This window comes from Homo sapiens, chromosome 8 (assembly GCF_000001405.40).
Source record: "Homo sapiens chromosome 8, GRCh38.p14 Primary Assembly".
Taxonomy (NCBI): Eukaryota; Metazoa; Chordata; class Mammalia; order Primates; family Hominidae; genus Homo; species Homo sapiens.
The window spans coordinates 38,541,968-38,558,094 of record NC_000008.11 but is presented as its reverse complement, the minus strand read 5'-3'; the positions used below and the strand labels follow the sequence as shown (position 1 = coordinate 38,558,094).

Genomic DNA, 16,127 nt, shown 5'->3' with positions numbered 1-16,127 from the left:
ATCTGGTCATCAGATGTTTTTGAAAACCACTGCAGAGCCTGGGGGAGGCATCCGTGGAGCTATGTGAAAATTATCTCCCTGCTTTGGGACCTTACCCACCAGGATTCCGTTAACTGCCTTTGTTGTCCAAGAATGTGAGTTAGGAATCCCTCCAGGAGGCAGGAGGGGTGATTCCAATGAAGAGGAGAATGGAAGCTTTTAGACATGGTCCCTCTGTGCCAAGAACAGCTTTGGAGGCTTACAAGCGCTCACAGGACCATCAAAGGGAGCCGGCGCTGATACCTCTGTTTGTTGACTCAGTGAAAATACTCTATCTCAGGGTTATTGCCATTGAAAACATCTCCTCTATCTGGAATCTTTTCTACACCAAGCATACAATTGCTGCATTCATCTCTTGGGAGGAATCTGTCACCAAATCCATAAGCTGCCTCCGCCAGCAGGCGGGGCAGGATACCAACTTGCCTGACCTCCGCCCACTGGGATGAGCCAGGACGGAGTTCCTGTGTTAGTAAAGCCCCAGATGTTTCTCCTACCCTGCGGCTGCACCCTCTTCCTCCCCCACCCCTACCGCTCCCCTCTCACCCTCATAATCAAGGCAAAAGGAGAGGGGTGGAAGCAGAAATTTTCACCTCAATCAATGTTTGGGGACATTTACATAGACATAGGATGTGCTACCATACCCAAGCAAAGGAAAACCAGGCTGGGTGCAGTGGCTCACACCTGTAATCCCAGCATTTTGGGAGGCCAAGGCAGCAAGGCAGGAAAATCCCTTGAGTCCAGGAGTTCAAGACCGGCATGGGTAACAGAGTGAGACCTCGTCTCTACAAAAAAATTAAAAACTAGCTAGGCATGGTGGTACATACCTGCAGTCCTAGCTACTCAGGAGGCCAAGGCAGGAGGATCAATTGAGCCCAGAAGTTGGAGGCTGTGGTGAGCTATGATTGTGCCACTGCATTCCAGCCTGGGCAACCAAGTGAGACCCTGTCTCTAGAATGAATGAACGATGCAATCCCAGCACTTCGGGAGGCCGAGGAAGGCGGATCACCTGAGGTCAGGAGTTCAGGACCAGCCTGGCCAACATGGTGAAACTCCGTCTCAACTAAAAATACAAAAATTAGCCAGGTGTGGTGGCACTCGCCTGTAAGCCCAGCAACTCGGGAGGCTGAGGCAGGAGAATTGCTTGAACCTGGGAGGCGGAGATTGCCGTGAGCTGAGATTGCGCCACTGCACTACAGCCTGGGCAACACAGCAAGACTCAGTCTCAAAAATGAAGAAGAAGAAGAAGAAGAAGAAGAAGAGGAAGAGGAAGAGGAAGAGGAAGAGGAAGAGGAAGAGGAAGAAGAAGAAGAGGAAGAAGAAGAGGAAGAAGAAGAGGAAGAAGAAGAGGAAGAAGAAGAAGAAGAAGAAGAGGAGGAAGAGGAGGAGGAGGAGGAGGAGGAGGAGAAGAAGAAGAAGAAGAAGAAGAAGAAGAAGAAGAAGAAGAAGAAGAAGAAGAAGAAGAAGAAGAAGAAGAAGAAAGGAAGGAAAACTGACCTTGTACCATGCCCTCTATGTGCCAGACATATGCTATGTTACACAGTTGATCTGATAGTAACACACTGAGGTTGGTCTTTCATGGAGGAGAAAATTGTCCAATGTCACGGTGGCAAAAGTAAGACTTGAACCTAAGTCCCACCAGATGATGGCAAGAATGTGGGCAAACCACTAAGATGCTGAGCTTCGGGCCACCTGTCTCCATACTGGGAATCGCAATAGCACCTCACTGACCCACCTCCTTGCCCTGTGGGGAGGGAAGACAATTGTGAGTGCAAAGCTAATTCACAAGTGTCAGTGGGCTGGGAGCACCTGAGGACAGGGAGATCCTCCACTGTATCACAGTGTGCCCAGCACCCAGATCCATGCTGGGGCGTCATCAGCCCTGTACTGAGTATCAGCCCTCTACTGGAGTGGAGTGAAGCCATGCCCACACTGTGTCCCGTGGAAAGCAGAGGAGAATTCTTCTTATGGTCCGGATGGAAGGAGTGGGTGCAAACAAGGCGTCCATCACACGGCAGACCACCCTGAGCAGAGAACGAGCACACAGTGCTAGGAGTAGGAAGCAGATAAGGGGTCCCCCAAACCTCATCTTTTGGATCAACCAAATTCATGGCAGCCTAATCCAAAGAGCCCTGTGGCCCTCTCACAAGAGCTGGGAGTTGAACTGAGGCCCACAGCATACCTCGCTTTAATGGGACAGCTGAGCCCAAGCATTGGTAGTGGGGGCAGGGCAAAGGGGCTGATGGCGGCCTGATGCCAACCTCAAAGAAACCACATGGCTTCTGACACAGGGGCAAACAAGCAAGGTGTGGTGGTTCTCGCCTGTCATCTCAGCTACTCAGGAGGCTGAGGCAGGAGGACTGCCTGAGTCCAGGAGTTTGAGACCAGCCTGGGCAATATAGCAGGACCCCATGTAAAAAAGAAAAAAAAAAAAGCACAGTATAGGGAGGACAGACAAGACCCTCAGACCTGGGTATGGCTAATCTAAGAGTAAAAAGGGGCCAGGCACGGTGGCTCATGCCTGTAATTCCAACACTTTAGGAGGCCGAGGCAGGCGGATCACAAGATCAAGAGTTTGAGACCAGCTTGGCCAACATGACAAAACCACATCTCTACCAAAAATACAAAAATTAGCCGGGCGTGGTGCCAGGCACCTGTAGTCTCAGCTACTCAGGAGGCTGAGGCAGGAGAATCGCTTGAACCCGGGAGGCAGAGGTTGCAGTGAGCTGAGATCGCGCCATTGCACTCCAGCCTGGACAACAGAGCGAGACTCCATCTCAAAAAAAAAAAAAAAAAAAAAAGTATTTTAAAAGGATAAAGTGCCCTGGAGATGGAGATAAAACAGAGAATCCCCATGAAACCAAGTCAGCCCTGTCGCCAGGGCATCTCCTGTCTTCTGTTCTGATGAACATTAGCGTCACCTCCTCACGGAAGCCTCCCCTGACTCTGAGAGAGATCTTCACAGTCCCAGGACACCTTATCTATACCTGTGTCATGACACTAACTGCATTCAGCCTTTTGTTGCAAGCATTTACATTCCTATCTCCTCTTCCTCTGGAACTAAGTGCAGGGCCAGAGACTTAGTATTCTTGTGTCCTTCTAGGGCAGCTACGACAGTGCCTGGTGCTTGGGGAGTGCTTGACAGATTCAGGTTGAAGAAACAAAGGCAGGTACAGGCAAGGAAGGGAATGAGGGGACCGAGGAAGGTCGGAATGGCCCTGCTGGTCATCAGGACTTGTGGACCCACTGCCGCCTGCCCTACTATCCCCCACATCGTCCATCCCCCAGGCTCCAACATGGCCCAGTGGGGTCCCAGACACATTCGGGGGGCGGGCAGTGGGCGGCGTTTCAGTCTGGGAGGAGGCCTTTTCCCAGGCCCTGTGGACCTCCCCACCGGCGGGAAGCGATCTTGCCAGGTGATCCTACCGGATCGCATCTGCAGAACTACAACTGAGCCGCTCTCTCGGGTGATTTGTGTCTCAAAACCACGCCAAGGCTGTAAATCAGGTGGTAGGAAGCTCTGTCTCCTGTTTTCCTGCTCAGCCAGACGGAGACAGAATGTACTGCCACCGGCTCCCAAATCTGGAAAACCAAGTCTGATTTAAGAGGAGATGTTTTAGCAGACATTAGCTCAGGTCAGGGCTGGGGAGCAGGGTCTCTTGCCTCTCCCTTCCTGCTCCGAAGGAGAAGGAAACAGCCACCTCCTCCCCAGCTGGGGGCTGAGTGGGTGGAGAACCTGAAAGGCAGGTGCCTAACAAGCCCTGGGGTTCGGTAGCAGCTGCTTAGAGCTCCTCCCCGGGAGGCTCCGGAGGGGAATTTTCCACTGCCCCGTTCAATTTACCAGGACAATTTAGCTCAGCTATACCGCGGCCTTGACTATTTACAGTGGGGAGCGCAGGGCGGTGGAGGAGCCCTCTAAGAGTCCGTGCAAGAGGGCCGCGGCCCAGCTAGAAGGGTCTGCAGGGGGCAAGGTGTGGCGGAGCGGGCTTCAGGCGCAGGTTTTGCTTGCTTTCACCACGCCCCAGGTCTAGCTCACGGCCTGCACCTGGGATGTTGGGGCTGTGCAGAGGCGCCGTGGGTGGGGACCAGGCCCCCTTTTAGATAGGGAGGGGAGGAGCAGGGCCCCGGCTGCGGGGAGTTGGGAGAGAAGCCAAAGCGTCTCCCCCCTCCCTCTGTTCCTGCTTTCTCAGGATGTCTGAGATGCCCAGCGTGGGTGAGTGCACCCTCCCTCCCTGGCTCTGCTCCTCCCCCTCCCCGGAACCACCACCCCCTCAGCCCTGAGCTGCCGATGCCCTCGGGGTTCTGTTTTCATTCCAGGCTGTGGATCCGGTCGTGGGAAGCAGGTAGGAAACCATGATTCTCGGGGTTAAATGAAGAAATATATTTAGTGCTCACAGAAATTTAGAAATTTAGAAAGCCAAATATTGGGTTAGCCGCCAGGAATGGAGAGGGAAAAAACCCAAAGCAAACAGCAGAGGAAAGAAATTCCTACCAGACAAGGTCCTTATTCATTCTCCCAACCCCAGGTGCAGGGGCCTGCAGGGGAGAGACCCGCTGAACTTAAGACTCTGATCAAACCCCAGACTCGGACCCTGCGCTGCCCATGGGGCCGACCGTCAATATCTGGATTGGCAATGGCACCCTAGAGCTCACTAAGTTGACCCTAAAGCCCTTTGGGAGCCAAGGGTGGGGGTGGGGAAGGAATAACAAAGTAGAAAGTTCCTGGATTGAGGTGGAAAAATCAGTTTAACCTCCCTGGGCCTCATCTACGGAATGTAAGGGTTGGATTATGATTTCACAGGTCATAGCATCCTACTATTGTTTCTGCCTAAAATAAGCAGCAATAAGAATGAGTGTGAGGAAGACCACAGCAGCAGGACCCACCTGTTTCTGAGGCCTAGGGAGATGCAGTGATAGATTTCAGCTTATTCCTCATTCTCAGGTTTCTGTACCTTGACCCTCCATAGAGTGAACTTCTAGGTTCTGAGCTGACTCCTTGGAAACCCTAGACTCCAGGGACGCGCTTCTAGAACCTGCTCAGATTGCTACTCAGTTAACAGCCTGGCCCAGGAGGATTGCAACACCCAGCCTGGCTCCCAGGCAAGCTAAAGAGGGCTTGATGATGGGAAGAGGTTAAGGGGTACGTGGAGAGAAAGAAGGATCAGAAGGCGGAAACATCATAGACCTCCTGGGATGCCTTCTGCAGGATCACAGAGAAGGCAAAATTTGTCCTCCTGACTACAAGATGCCAAGATACATTTGTATCGAGCCACTGAATTCTCTACCCCTTCTGTAGAGGTGGTTGGGGAAGAGCTGCAGTAGGAAGCTGGGTCCCAAGTAATGAAGGACCTTTAGAAGCAGAAGGTGTTAGGGTGGGGGCAAAGGACTGAACTCTGACCAACCAGAAGAAAGGAAAAACTGGAGTTCCTTTCCCCTAGGTCTGCCTTTCTTTCTCAGGGTCTCTATTTACTTCTCATGCACTTGACTCTCTGCTTCCCTCTCCCTCATTTCCACAAAGGGGCCCAAGCTTCACATGCATCTCGCACCCCCGCACCTTGTGGGCAGGAAATCTGAGCACAGGCATTTCCTGTACGCTGATAAATGCCCACTGCAAAGAGCCCCAGCCTGAAGGTGGCCCTGTCTCCTAGTTATGTCCCTCCACATCCTTATCTCCCCAGGCTCCAGCCCTCACCAGCAGGGACTCAACAAACGCCATCTGTCAGATGAGTCATGGGACCAGAAGCTTGGGAGAAGACATGCAGAGCCAACCACTAACAAAACTGGCAAATGAAATAAATGCCCAGAAACCTGCTCCATCCCCAGCATTCCTTAAGTCCTATAAATTGCACCACCTTTTACCAGTTTTCAGAAACTAAAAGTCATCCTTGACATCCGTCCAATCAATCACCTCCTATTTATCTCCCAAATTCATTCTTTTTTCTTTTTGAAACAGAGTTTTTACTCTTGTTGCCCAGGCTGAAGTGCAATGGCACGATCTCAGCTCCCTGCAACCTCCGCCTCCCAGGTTCAAGCCATTCTCCTGCCTCAGCTTTCCTGAGTAGCTGGGATTACAGGCATGCGCCACTACGCCTGGCTAATGTTGTATTTTTAGTAGAGATGGGGTTTCTCCATGTTGGTCAGGCTGGTCTTGAATTCCCAACCTGAGGTGATCCACCCACCTTGGCCTCCCAAAGTGCTGGGACTACAGGTGTGAGCCATTACACCCGGCAAATTCATTTTTATAATCTTGCCACCCCCACAACCACTGCCCTCATGGACCCTGGGCACGCCTCACCCGAATTACAGAAATTCCCTCCCAGCTGGTAAAACTGTTTGTGTGTGGCTCTCCTTCATTCCATCCTCCCTGGTTTAGCCAGAGAAATAATTCTAAAATGTACACATCCCAAAGCATCTCATTTTCCTGCATGCAGTCTTTCATCATCCATTCACTAACTGGAGGACAACATCTGAATTTATTAGTGAGCATACAAAGGCTTTTCATCCGCTGAACCCAGCGCATCTGCTACCATTTCCCTGGTCTCCGGTCAGAACTAGTGACTGTCCCATAAACAGGTTCTGCTGGACTTCCAGTCAAGATGGAGCGGTGAGTTCTCTGTTCCAACCACAAACCAGCAGTAAATAAAACATTTTCGCATATAACCCAACACACACAGTTGGGCTGAAAAACAAGGCAAGCTTTCTGTGAACCAGAAGCAAGAACAGAGCCCAAAATCACTAAATGGGGCTGTGACTGACATGCTGCTGGGCTCTGAGTCCCAAAGGGTTTTAGAGAAGCCAGGAGCCCAGTTACCTTAGAAAGGGCAGTGACTAAGATGAACACCAGGGGTCTTCTGGAGGCCAAGAATGTTCTTTTTGTGCTCTGGGGGTTTATTACACAGGAGCATTCACTTTGTGAAAACTCATTGAGGTGCCCCTTTACGATTCATGTGCGTTTCTGTATATCTGTTATATTTCAATAGAAATGTTTACTTGAAAAACTTTGTCCTGGGAGAAAGCCCAGAGGAAGACCCTACTTTTAGATGCTGGAGACCAGGGTAGGGTGAGGTAAAGTGGGGTGGAAATAGAGCACAGCCTCAAAGTGAGGACCCATGCCAAGCCACCCACAGCTCCTCATCTGGATTGGCATCATTCTGGCACAGAATAAGGAACCATGAAATAACACGTAAGAGCTGGCGCTGGAACAGCGGCTTAGGAAAATGGGTGGAGGCAACCACAAAACTATAAACTGTGCATTCAGGAAGAGAAGAAAAAAAGACAAAAACAAAACAAATCAAAGGGGGAAAACTGCCACTAGAAATGGATCTGCAAATCAAAATTCCAAAACACATTTTAACAATGAAAAAGTCTAATGCTAAGAAAGACAGTAAAATCAATAAACAACATTAATTCATTCCAGTTGACATCAGTTTTATAGAGCAGAAGTCATAAAAATCTACCAATTTTATAGACTAGTACTAAAATCTATCAGTTTCATAGAGGATAGGTTTTGAAGTATATATACATTTACATTTCTCAAAGAAATCATAAAAACATATTAAAAATAAGCAATAAATATTAGATGAAAATAGGAATGGAACAAGAAGAAGTGGGAATAAAAAAGATTAGGAAGGCCAGGCGCGGTGGCTCACACCTGTAATCCCAGCACTTTGGGAGGCCAAGGCAGGCAGATCACCTGAGGTTGGGAGTTCGAGACCAGCCTGACCAATATGGAGAAACCCTGTCTCTACTAAAAATACAAAATTAGCCAGGCATGGTGGCACATGCCTGTAATCCCAGCTACTCAGGAGGCTGAGGCAGGAGAAGCACTTGAACCTGGGAGGTGGAGGTTGCAGTGAGCCGAGATCATGCCATTGCACTCTAGCCTGGGCAACAAGAGTGAACTCTGTCTCAAAAAAAAAAAAAAAAAAAAAAAAGATTAGGAAAAGCCTGGGCACGATGGCTCATGCCTGTAATCCCAGCACTTTGGGAGGCCAAGGCAGGTGGATCACCTGAGGTCAGGAGTTTGAGACCACCCTGGCTAACATGGTGAAACACTGTCTCTTCTAAAAATACAAAATTAGCCAGGCGTGGTGGCGCATGCCTGTAATCCTAGCTACTCAGGAGGCTGAGGCAGGAGAATTGCTTGAACCTGGGAGGTGGAGGTTGCAGTGAGCCGAGATCACACCACTGCACTCTAGCCTGGGTGACAGAGTGAGACTCTGTCAAAAAAAAAAAAAAAAAAACTCAAGGAAAACGAACAAACTGGAAATCTTAGACACAAAAAATAGCCATTGAATTGTTTAAGCCTCAATATTCAGGTTAAACTCTAGACTGAGTGTAGTCAGAGAAAAAATGATGAAATGGGGGATAGTATGGAAAAATTTATCCAAAATGAAATACAAAGAGGAAAAGAAGGAAAAATATGAAAGACAAGACATAAGTAGATTAAGAGACTCTAGCCTAAGAGAGATCTAGAAGAGGACAGTAGAGAAGCTAGCTTTGTGTATTTATTTTTATTTTTTGTTTCTGTTTCTATTAGCGTCTTGCTACCCTCTTCTAAACTTTGTACCAGAGATTTGGAAGGGAGATTGGAGATGAGTCATTTTCTTCCTCCAGCAGAGGCAGTGGGTGTCTAGACTCGGTCAGACATAGTTTATGTAGAGTCTGGCTAGACTCCATTCCCCTGCCACCCATGGACCCCAGGGATGCAGGATAAGTGTGATACCAGCAGAGATTTCCTCCAGTTCTCTGACATCTATTAATAGATGATAACAGCAACTTCTAGACTCTCTGGACTATAGCTACAGTGGTCAATCTGAAAGTTACATGCATCCCCTGATTTTCTTTTTGTTAGCACCCAATTCCCTATATTTGATCCCTTTCTGCTTGAAATACCTAGAATAGTTTCTTTTTTCTTTTTCTTTTTCTTTTTTTTTTTTGAGACGGAGTCTGGCTCTGTCGCCCAGGCTGGAGTGCAGTGGCGTGATCTTGGCTCACTGCAAGCTCCGCCTCCTGCGTTCACACCATTCTCCTGTCTCAGCCTCCCGAGTAGCTAGGACTACAGGTGCCTGCCACCAGGCCTGGCTAATTTTTTGTATTTTTAGTAGAGATGGGGTTTCACCGTGTTAGCCAGGATGGTCTCAATCTCCTGACCTCGTGATCCACCTGCCTCGGCCTCCCAAAGTGCTGGGATTACAGGCGTGAGCCACAGTGCCTGGCCCTAGAGTAGTTTCTGTGTTCTTTACTGATAAAAGCAAATGGCTGTATTTGAAGCTATACTACCCTTCCACATAAAATGGACCCAAAAAATAAAGAGTTGTAAAACAGGAAGAAAAGATCACAGTATTAGAGAACAAGTTCAGGAAGCCCAATATTCAAATAGGAGTTCTAGAAACAGAACTTGGAGGAAAACTGAGAGAAGGAATTCAGCAAAAAAAAAATTCAAGGCCGGGCATGGTGGCTCATGCCTGTAATCCCAGCACTTTGGGAGGCCGAGGTGGGGAGATCATAAGGTCAGGAGATCGAGACAATCCTGGCTAACACGGCGAAACCCAGTCTCTATTAAAAATACAAAAAATTAGCCGGGCATGGTGGCGGGCGCCTGTAGTCCCAGCTACTCGGGAGGCTGAGGCAGGAGAATGGCGTGAACCCGGGAGGTGGAGCTTGCAGTGAGCCGAGATTGTGCCACTGCACTCCAGCCTGGGCTACAGAGGGAGACTCTGTCTCAAAAAAAAAAAAAAAAAAAAAAAAAAAAATTCAAAAAGTGTTCCCAGAACAAAAGGACAGATGTTTGTCAATCAAAAGAGCCCACCTAGCGCACAGCACAAAGGATGAAAATGGATCCATGACAAAGCACATTATAATGAAATTTCAGAACATTAGGGATAAAAAGAAGATCCTATAAGCATCCAGAGATGGGGACAAACAGTTGTATACTCAGTTATCAAGAATCAGAATTCATTCAGACCACTCAAAAGCAAAAATAGAATCTAGAAAGTAATGAAGCAATGCCCTTTAAATTCTAAAGGAAAAATTATTTCTAACATAAAATTTCACACTTAAAGTTGCAATCACATGTAAAGATAGAGAAAAAATATTTTTACATATACAGATAATTTTTGTGAAGTATTTCCTTAGTACCTTCTCTCAGGAAGCGACTGAAGGATGTGTTTTACCAAAAATAAGAAAACAAAAAGAGGAAGCTATGGAATACAAAACCAAACCTGGAAAGAGAGGAAGGGAATCCCTGGGACAATGATGAAAGGGGACACCAAGATAAGAGCTGTGAATAAGTGTGGAAGGCAACCAGTCCAGATTGCAGCAGATCAGAATGCTCCAGGAAAGATTTCCTCAAGAAGATAAAAGTGATAAACTGGCCGGGCATGGTGGCTCATGCCTGTAATCCCAGCACTTTGGGAGGTGGAGGCGGGTGGATCACCTGAGGTCAGGAGTTCCAGACCAGCCTGGCCAACGTGGTGAAACCCTGTCTCTACTAAAAATACAAAAATTAGCTGGGCATGGTGGCACACGCCTGTAGTCCCAGCTACTCAGGAGGCTGAGGCAGGAGAATCACTTGAACCCAGGAGGCGGAGTTTGCAGTGAGCCGAGACCATGCCACTGCACTCCAGCCTGGGCAACAGAGTGAGACTCTGTCTCAAAAAAAAAAAAAAGAAAAGAAAAGAAAAACAAGTGATAAACTACTTAATGTTTGGATGCACTGAAAGAAGGTTTATACATCGACAGGCATGGTGGCTCACACCTGTAATCCCAGCACTTTGAGAGGCTGAGGCGGGCACATCACCTGAGATCAGGAGTTCAAGACCAGTCTGGGCGACATGGTGAAACCCCATCTCTACCAAAAATACAAAAATTAGCCAGGTGTGGTGGTGCACACCTATAGTCCCAGCTACTCAGGAGGCTGAGATGGGAGAATCACTTGAATCTGGGAGGCGGAGGTTGCAGTGAGCCAAAATCGTGCCACTACACTCCAGCCTGGGTGATTAAAGAAAAAAAAAAGTTTATATAACTTGGACTAAATTAGCAATAAGAATATAGAAAATGAAGCAAATGAAAAAGGAAGACAATCATGAACTCCAGGGAAAATAAAAGGTTGTGCAGAAAAGGAAAAATAATCACAGTATACTATATGGCTCAGCTGTGACTAGTGTTACAATAGTCATAGTAATATAAATATTTGATATTGATCTCATCAAAATTATAGTATTGAAAGGATTAAGGGACAAAATAGTGTATGTGTAGTGGTGGAGAAGGGGGTGGAAGAGAGCCAAAGCTTTATTGTCCATAGAGGGAAGACCATAAGTAAAAGCTATAGTTGAAAAATGAATATAAGCATATTATTTAGAGAGAAAGAGGTAAACACCAAAAAAACTAGCTGAAAGAGTTGAAAAAGGAGGTGGGAGGATCACTTGAGCCCAGGAGCTCTAGGCTGCCTGGAGCTATGATCACGCCTGTGAATAGCCACTACACTCCAGCCTGGGCAACATAGCAAAACTCCATCTCAATCAATCAATCAATGAGCTGAAAAAGGTTGCCTCTGAAGAAAGGGAAATGTGAGGCAAGGAGTAGGGGACTGCTGTTTTTCATAATAAGTCTTATAGACCAATTTAACTCTTTAATTTATGTGTATGTGTGATTTCATATAAAGATAAAGCTAAAATAAATAAGATCAGAACTTAATGAAACAAAAAACAAACAATAGAAAGGATAATGGTCATGCCTGTAATCCCAGTACTTTGGGAGGCTGAGGTGGGCAGATCACCTGAGGTCAAGAGTTCGAGAACAGCCTGGCCAACATGGTGAAACCCCGCCTCTACTAAAAATACAAAAATTAGCTGGGCATGGTGGCACATGCCTGTAGTCCCAGCTACTCAGGAGGCTGAGGCAGGAGAATCGCTTGAACCCGGGGGTCAGAAGTTGCAATGAACCGAGATAGCGCCATTGCACTCCAGCCTGGGCAACAGAGCAAGACTCCATCTCAAAAAAAAAAAAAAAAAAAAGGAAAGGATGCATTAGCAAACTATATCAGGAATAAAAAATTACTGTTTCCACTTACACAGAAGATTTGAAAATTTTATGAAAAGTTTTATGTATTAAATACTTCCGATAAAATGGATAATTTTCTAGTCATAAATAGCTAAAATGATGCAAAAATAAATGGAAAGCCTAACTAAACCAATTACCATCAAAATTTTTGAACTAGTAATCGAAAGTCTCTTGCCCTATGCTGGGTGCAGTGGCTCAAACCTGTAATCCCAGCACTCTGGGAGGCCAAGGCAGGTGGATCACCTGAGGTCAGGAATTCCAGACCAGCCTGGCCAACATGGTGAAACCCTGTCTCTACTAAAAATACAAAAATTAGCTGGGCATGGTGGCGGGCACCTGTAATCCTAGCTATGCAGGAGGCTGAGACAGGAGAATCACTTGAACCCGGGAGGCAGAGGTTGCAGTGAGCCAAGATCATGCCACTGTACTCCAGTCGGAGCAAGACTCCCGCTCAAAAAAAAAAAAGTCTCTTTCCCTAAATGATATCTGTCCCAGATGGTTTTAGAAACTCATTTTCTTAAACCACTAAGGCACAAATAAACTATTTGTTTGTTTGTTTGTTTGTTTTGAGATGGAGTCTCCTTCTGTCGCCCATGCTGGAGTGCAGAGGTGCAATCTTGGCTCACTGCAACCTCCACCTCCCCAATTCAAGCCATTCTCCTTTCTCAGCCTCCTGAGTAGCTGGGATTACAGGCACACACCACCATGCCCAGCTAATTTTTGTATTTTTAGTACAGACGGGGCTTCATCATATTGGTCAGACTGGTCTCAAACTCCTGATCTCAGGTGATCCACCTGCCTTGGCTTCCCAAAGTGCTGGGATTACAGGTGTGAGCCACAACACCCGGCCACAAATAAACTCTTAAAAACATGTGGCTGGGCGCAATGGCTCACGCCTGTAATCCCAGCACTTTGGGAGGCAGAGGCGGGGGGATCACGAGGTCAGGAGATCAAGACCAAGGTGAAACCCCGTCTGTACTAAAAATACAAAAAAATTAGCTGGGCGCGGTGGTGGGCGCCTGTAGTCCCAGCTACTCGGGAGGCTGAGGCAAGAGAATGGTGTGAACCCAGGAGGCGGAGCTTACAATGAGCCGAGATTGCGCCACTGCACTCCAGCCTGGGCGACAGAGCGAGACTCCATCTCAAAAAAAAAAAAAAAAAAATGTTTTCTGTTCCTGTGCCATTTGTTCTCCTAAATTCTTCTTCTGGTGAGATTTTCTGTGGAGCACAGAATAGCCCAGTTACGGCCTGCATCTTCCAACCTTCCTTGCAACTGAGGAGTGTCTGACTAAATGCTCACCTTTGATGATGAGCAAATAATGGTGCCATTTCTCCATTACTTGCTATGGAGAAATGGCGATTCCTAGGGTTCCTGTAAAAAAGTGTCACAAACTGGGGGATTAACAACAGAAATGTACTCCCTCACAGTTCTGGAGGCTGTAAGTCCAAGATCAAGTTGTCAGTAGGGTTGGTTCCTTCTGATGATTGTGAGGGGAAGTCTGTTCCACCCTGTGTCCTAGCTTCAGGTGGTGCGCTGGCAATCTGTGGCATTCCTTGGTGTCTCTCTGCCTTCATGTTCACATGGAGTTCTCCCTCAGGTGTGTCCAAATCCCCCCACCCCTCTTTTTTTTTTTTAATTTGAGATGGGGTCTCACTCTGTCACCCAGGCTGGAGTGCAGTAGTACCATCATGGTTCACTGCAGCCTCAACCTCCCAGGCTAAAGGGATTCTCCCACCTCAGCCTCCCAAGTAGCTGGGACCTACAGGCATGTGCCACCACACCCAGCTAATTTTTTTTTTTAATTTTTATTGTTAGTAAAGATGGGATCTTGTTCTGTTGCCCAGGCTGGTCTCCAACTTCTGGCTGCAAGTGATCCTCCCTCCTTGGCCTGGCAAAGTGCTGGGATTACAGGTATGAGCCACTGTGCCTGGCCCAAATTGCCTCTTTTTATAAGGACACCAGTCACATTGGATTAGAGGCCCACCCTACTCCAATATCACTTTAATTATATCTGTAATGACCCTATTTTCAAATAAGGTCACATCCTGAGTTACTGGGAGTTAAAACTTGAACATATGAATCAAGGGGACAACATTTGTTTCAAAGGAAATTGCTCACCCTCCTCTTTCCTATTCTCCCTTTCCTAAGGGCCGCACACATACAGAGCTGAACTTGTATCGCCGTGTAGATGAAGACAAACACCTTTAGGAGATGGCAGAGAAACAAAATGGGAAACCCTCAGGTCTCCAAATGACTACACCAAGCAGAATTGCCCCACCAGCCTGCACCATTCATTTCTAGACTATGAGCAAGAAGTACACTTCCATCTTATTTAAACAACCATATTTGGGGTTTTTGTTGTTGTTATTGTTGTTGTTATAGGAGCTTAGCTTTTACTCTAAGAAATACAGCTACTCAACTCACTTCATTAGGATCTTAACTATAATATCAAAACCTCCTAAGCACAGAATAAAAAATACAGTAGAGCAATATCATTTATGATCATAGATGCAGAGCTTCCAAATGAAATACTAGCATATTCAAGGAAAGATATATATACCATGACCTAGTTGTGTTTAATTTCTGGAATTCAAAAATGGAATGTTTGACATAAGAAAATCTATTAGGCCGGGCGCGGTGGCTCACGCCTGTAATCCCAGCACTTTGGGAGGCCGAGGCAGGCAGATCACGAGGTCAGGAGATCGAGATCATCCTGGCTAATACGGTGAAACCCCGTTTCTACTAAAAAATACAAAAAAAAAATATTAGCTGGGAGTGGTGGCGGGCGCCTGTAGTCCCAGCTACTTGGGAGGCTGAGGCAGGAGAATGGCGTGAACCCGGGAGGCAGAGCTTACAGTGAGCTGAGATCGTGCCACTGCACTCCAGCCTGGGTGACAGAGCGAGACTCTGTCTCAAAAAAAAAAAAAAAAAGAAAAAAGAAAACAGTTTGGCAGTTCCTCAAAAAGTTAAACATAGGATGTTTGAAAATTTAAACGTAATATGACCTAGCAATTCAACCCCAGGTATACAACCAAGAGAATTGAAAACAGGTGTTCAAACAAAAACTTGTACAGGATTGCTCATAGCAGCATTATTTATAATAGCCAAAAGGAAGAAACTACTCAAATGTCCATCAGCTGATGAATGGATAAACAAAATATGGTGTATTTCTACAATGGACTATTATTCAATCATAAAAAATGAAATGCTGATAAATGCCAAAATTGACGAACTTTTAAAACATGCTAAGTGGCTGGGTGGGGTGGCTCTAGTCCGTAATCCCGGCATGTTAAGAGGCCGAGGTGGGCGGGTCACTTGAGCCTGGGAGGTCGAGGCTGCAGAGAGCTGAGATCGCGCTACTGCACTCTAGCCTGGGTGACAGAGCAGACCCTGTCTCAGAAAGAAAAGAAAAAACAGAAAAGAGAAAGAAGACAGGAGAGGAGAGAAGGGGAGGGGAGGGGAGGGGAATGGAGAGGGGGAGGGGAGGGGAGGGGAAGGGGGAGGGAAGGGGAGGGGAGGGGAACATCCTGGCCGGGTGCAGTGGCTCACGCCTGTAATCCTAGCACTTTGGGAGGCCAAGGTGGGCGGATTGCCTGAGCTCAGGAGTTCGAGACCAGCCTGGGCAACACGGTGAAACCCCGTCTCTACTAAAATACAAAAAAATTAGTTGGGCGTGGCGATGTATACCTGTAGTCCCAGCTACTCAGGATGCTGAGGCAGAAGAATTGCTTGAACCCAGGAGGTTGAGGTTGCAGTGACGCGAGATTGCACCACTGCACTCCAGCCTGGGTGACAGAGTGAGACTCTCTCCCAAAAAAAAAAAAAGAAAAGAAAAGAAAAGAACATGCTAAGTGAAAGAAGCCAGAGAAAAAAAGGCAACACATTGTATTATTCCATTTAATGAAATATCCAGGATAAACAAATCCATAGAAATGAAGAGCAGCTGAGGGGTTGCTGGGGCTAGGGACGGGGGGGATATCAGGAATGACTGCTTCATGGGTACAGAGTTTTCAGGTGATGAAATCTT

At 47.1% G+C, this 16,127-nt stretch overlaps 1 long non-coding RNA gene across 1 annotated transcript, besides 3 other annotated features; it reads left to right on the top strand.

The window, feature by feature from the left end:
• Positions 3,655–3,744: an enhancer, noted in NCBI's record as "active region_27254". NCBI's record gives its function as "activates an Ori minimal core promoter by ATAC-STARR-seq in GM12878 lymphoblastoid cells {active_cell/tissue: GM12878}" and the evidence as "EXISTENCE:reporter gene assay evidence [ECO:0000049][PMID:35858748]".
• LOC124901935 (uncharacterized) lies at positions 4,347–14,590 on the top strand. The gene is made up of 2 exons (XR_007060890.1): positions 4,347–6,640; positions 14,249–14,590. It is a non-coding gene; the product is annotated as an uncharacterized LOC124901935 (long non-coding RNA).
• Positions 5,329–5,830: an enhancer, noted in NCBI's record as "H3K4me1 hESC enhancer chr8:38409783-38410284 (GRCh37/hg19 assembly coordinates)". NCBI's record gives its function as "activates a minimal SCP1, AML or CMV promoter by ChIP-STARR-seq in primed H9 embryonic stem cells {active_cell/tissue: H9 hESC(primed)}" and the evidence as "EXISTENCE:reporter gene assay evidence [ECO:0000049][PMID:30033119]".
• Positions 8,454–8,513: an enhancer, noted in NCBI's record as "active region_27253". NCBI's record gives its function as "activates an Ori minimal core promoter by ATAC-STARR-seq in GM12878 lymphoblastoid cells {active_cell/tissue: GM12878}" and the evidence as "EXISTENCE:reporter gene assay evidence [ECO:0000049][PMID:35858748]".
• Positions 14,591–16,127: the final 1,537 nt, after the last annotated feature.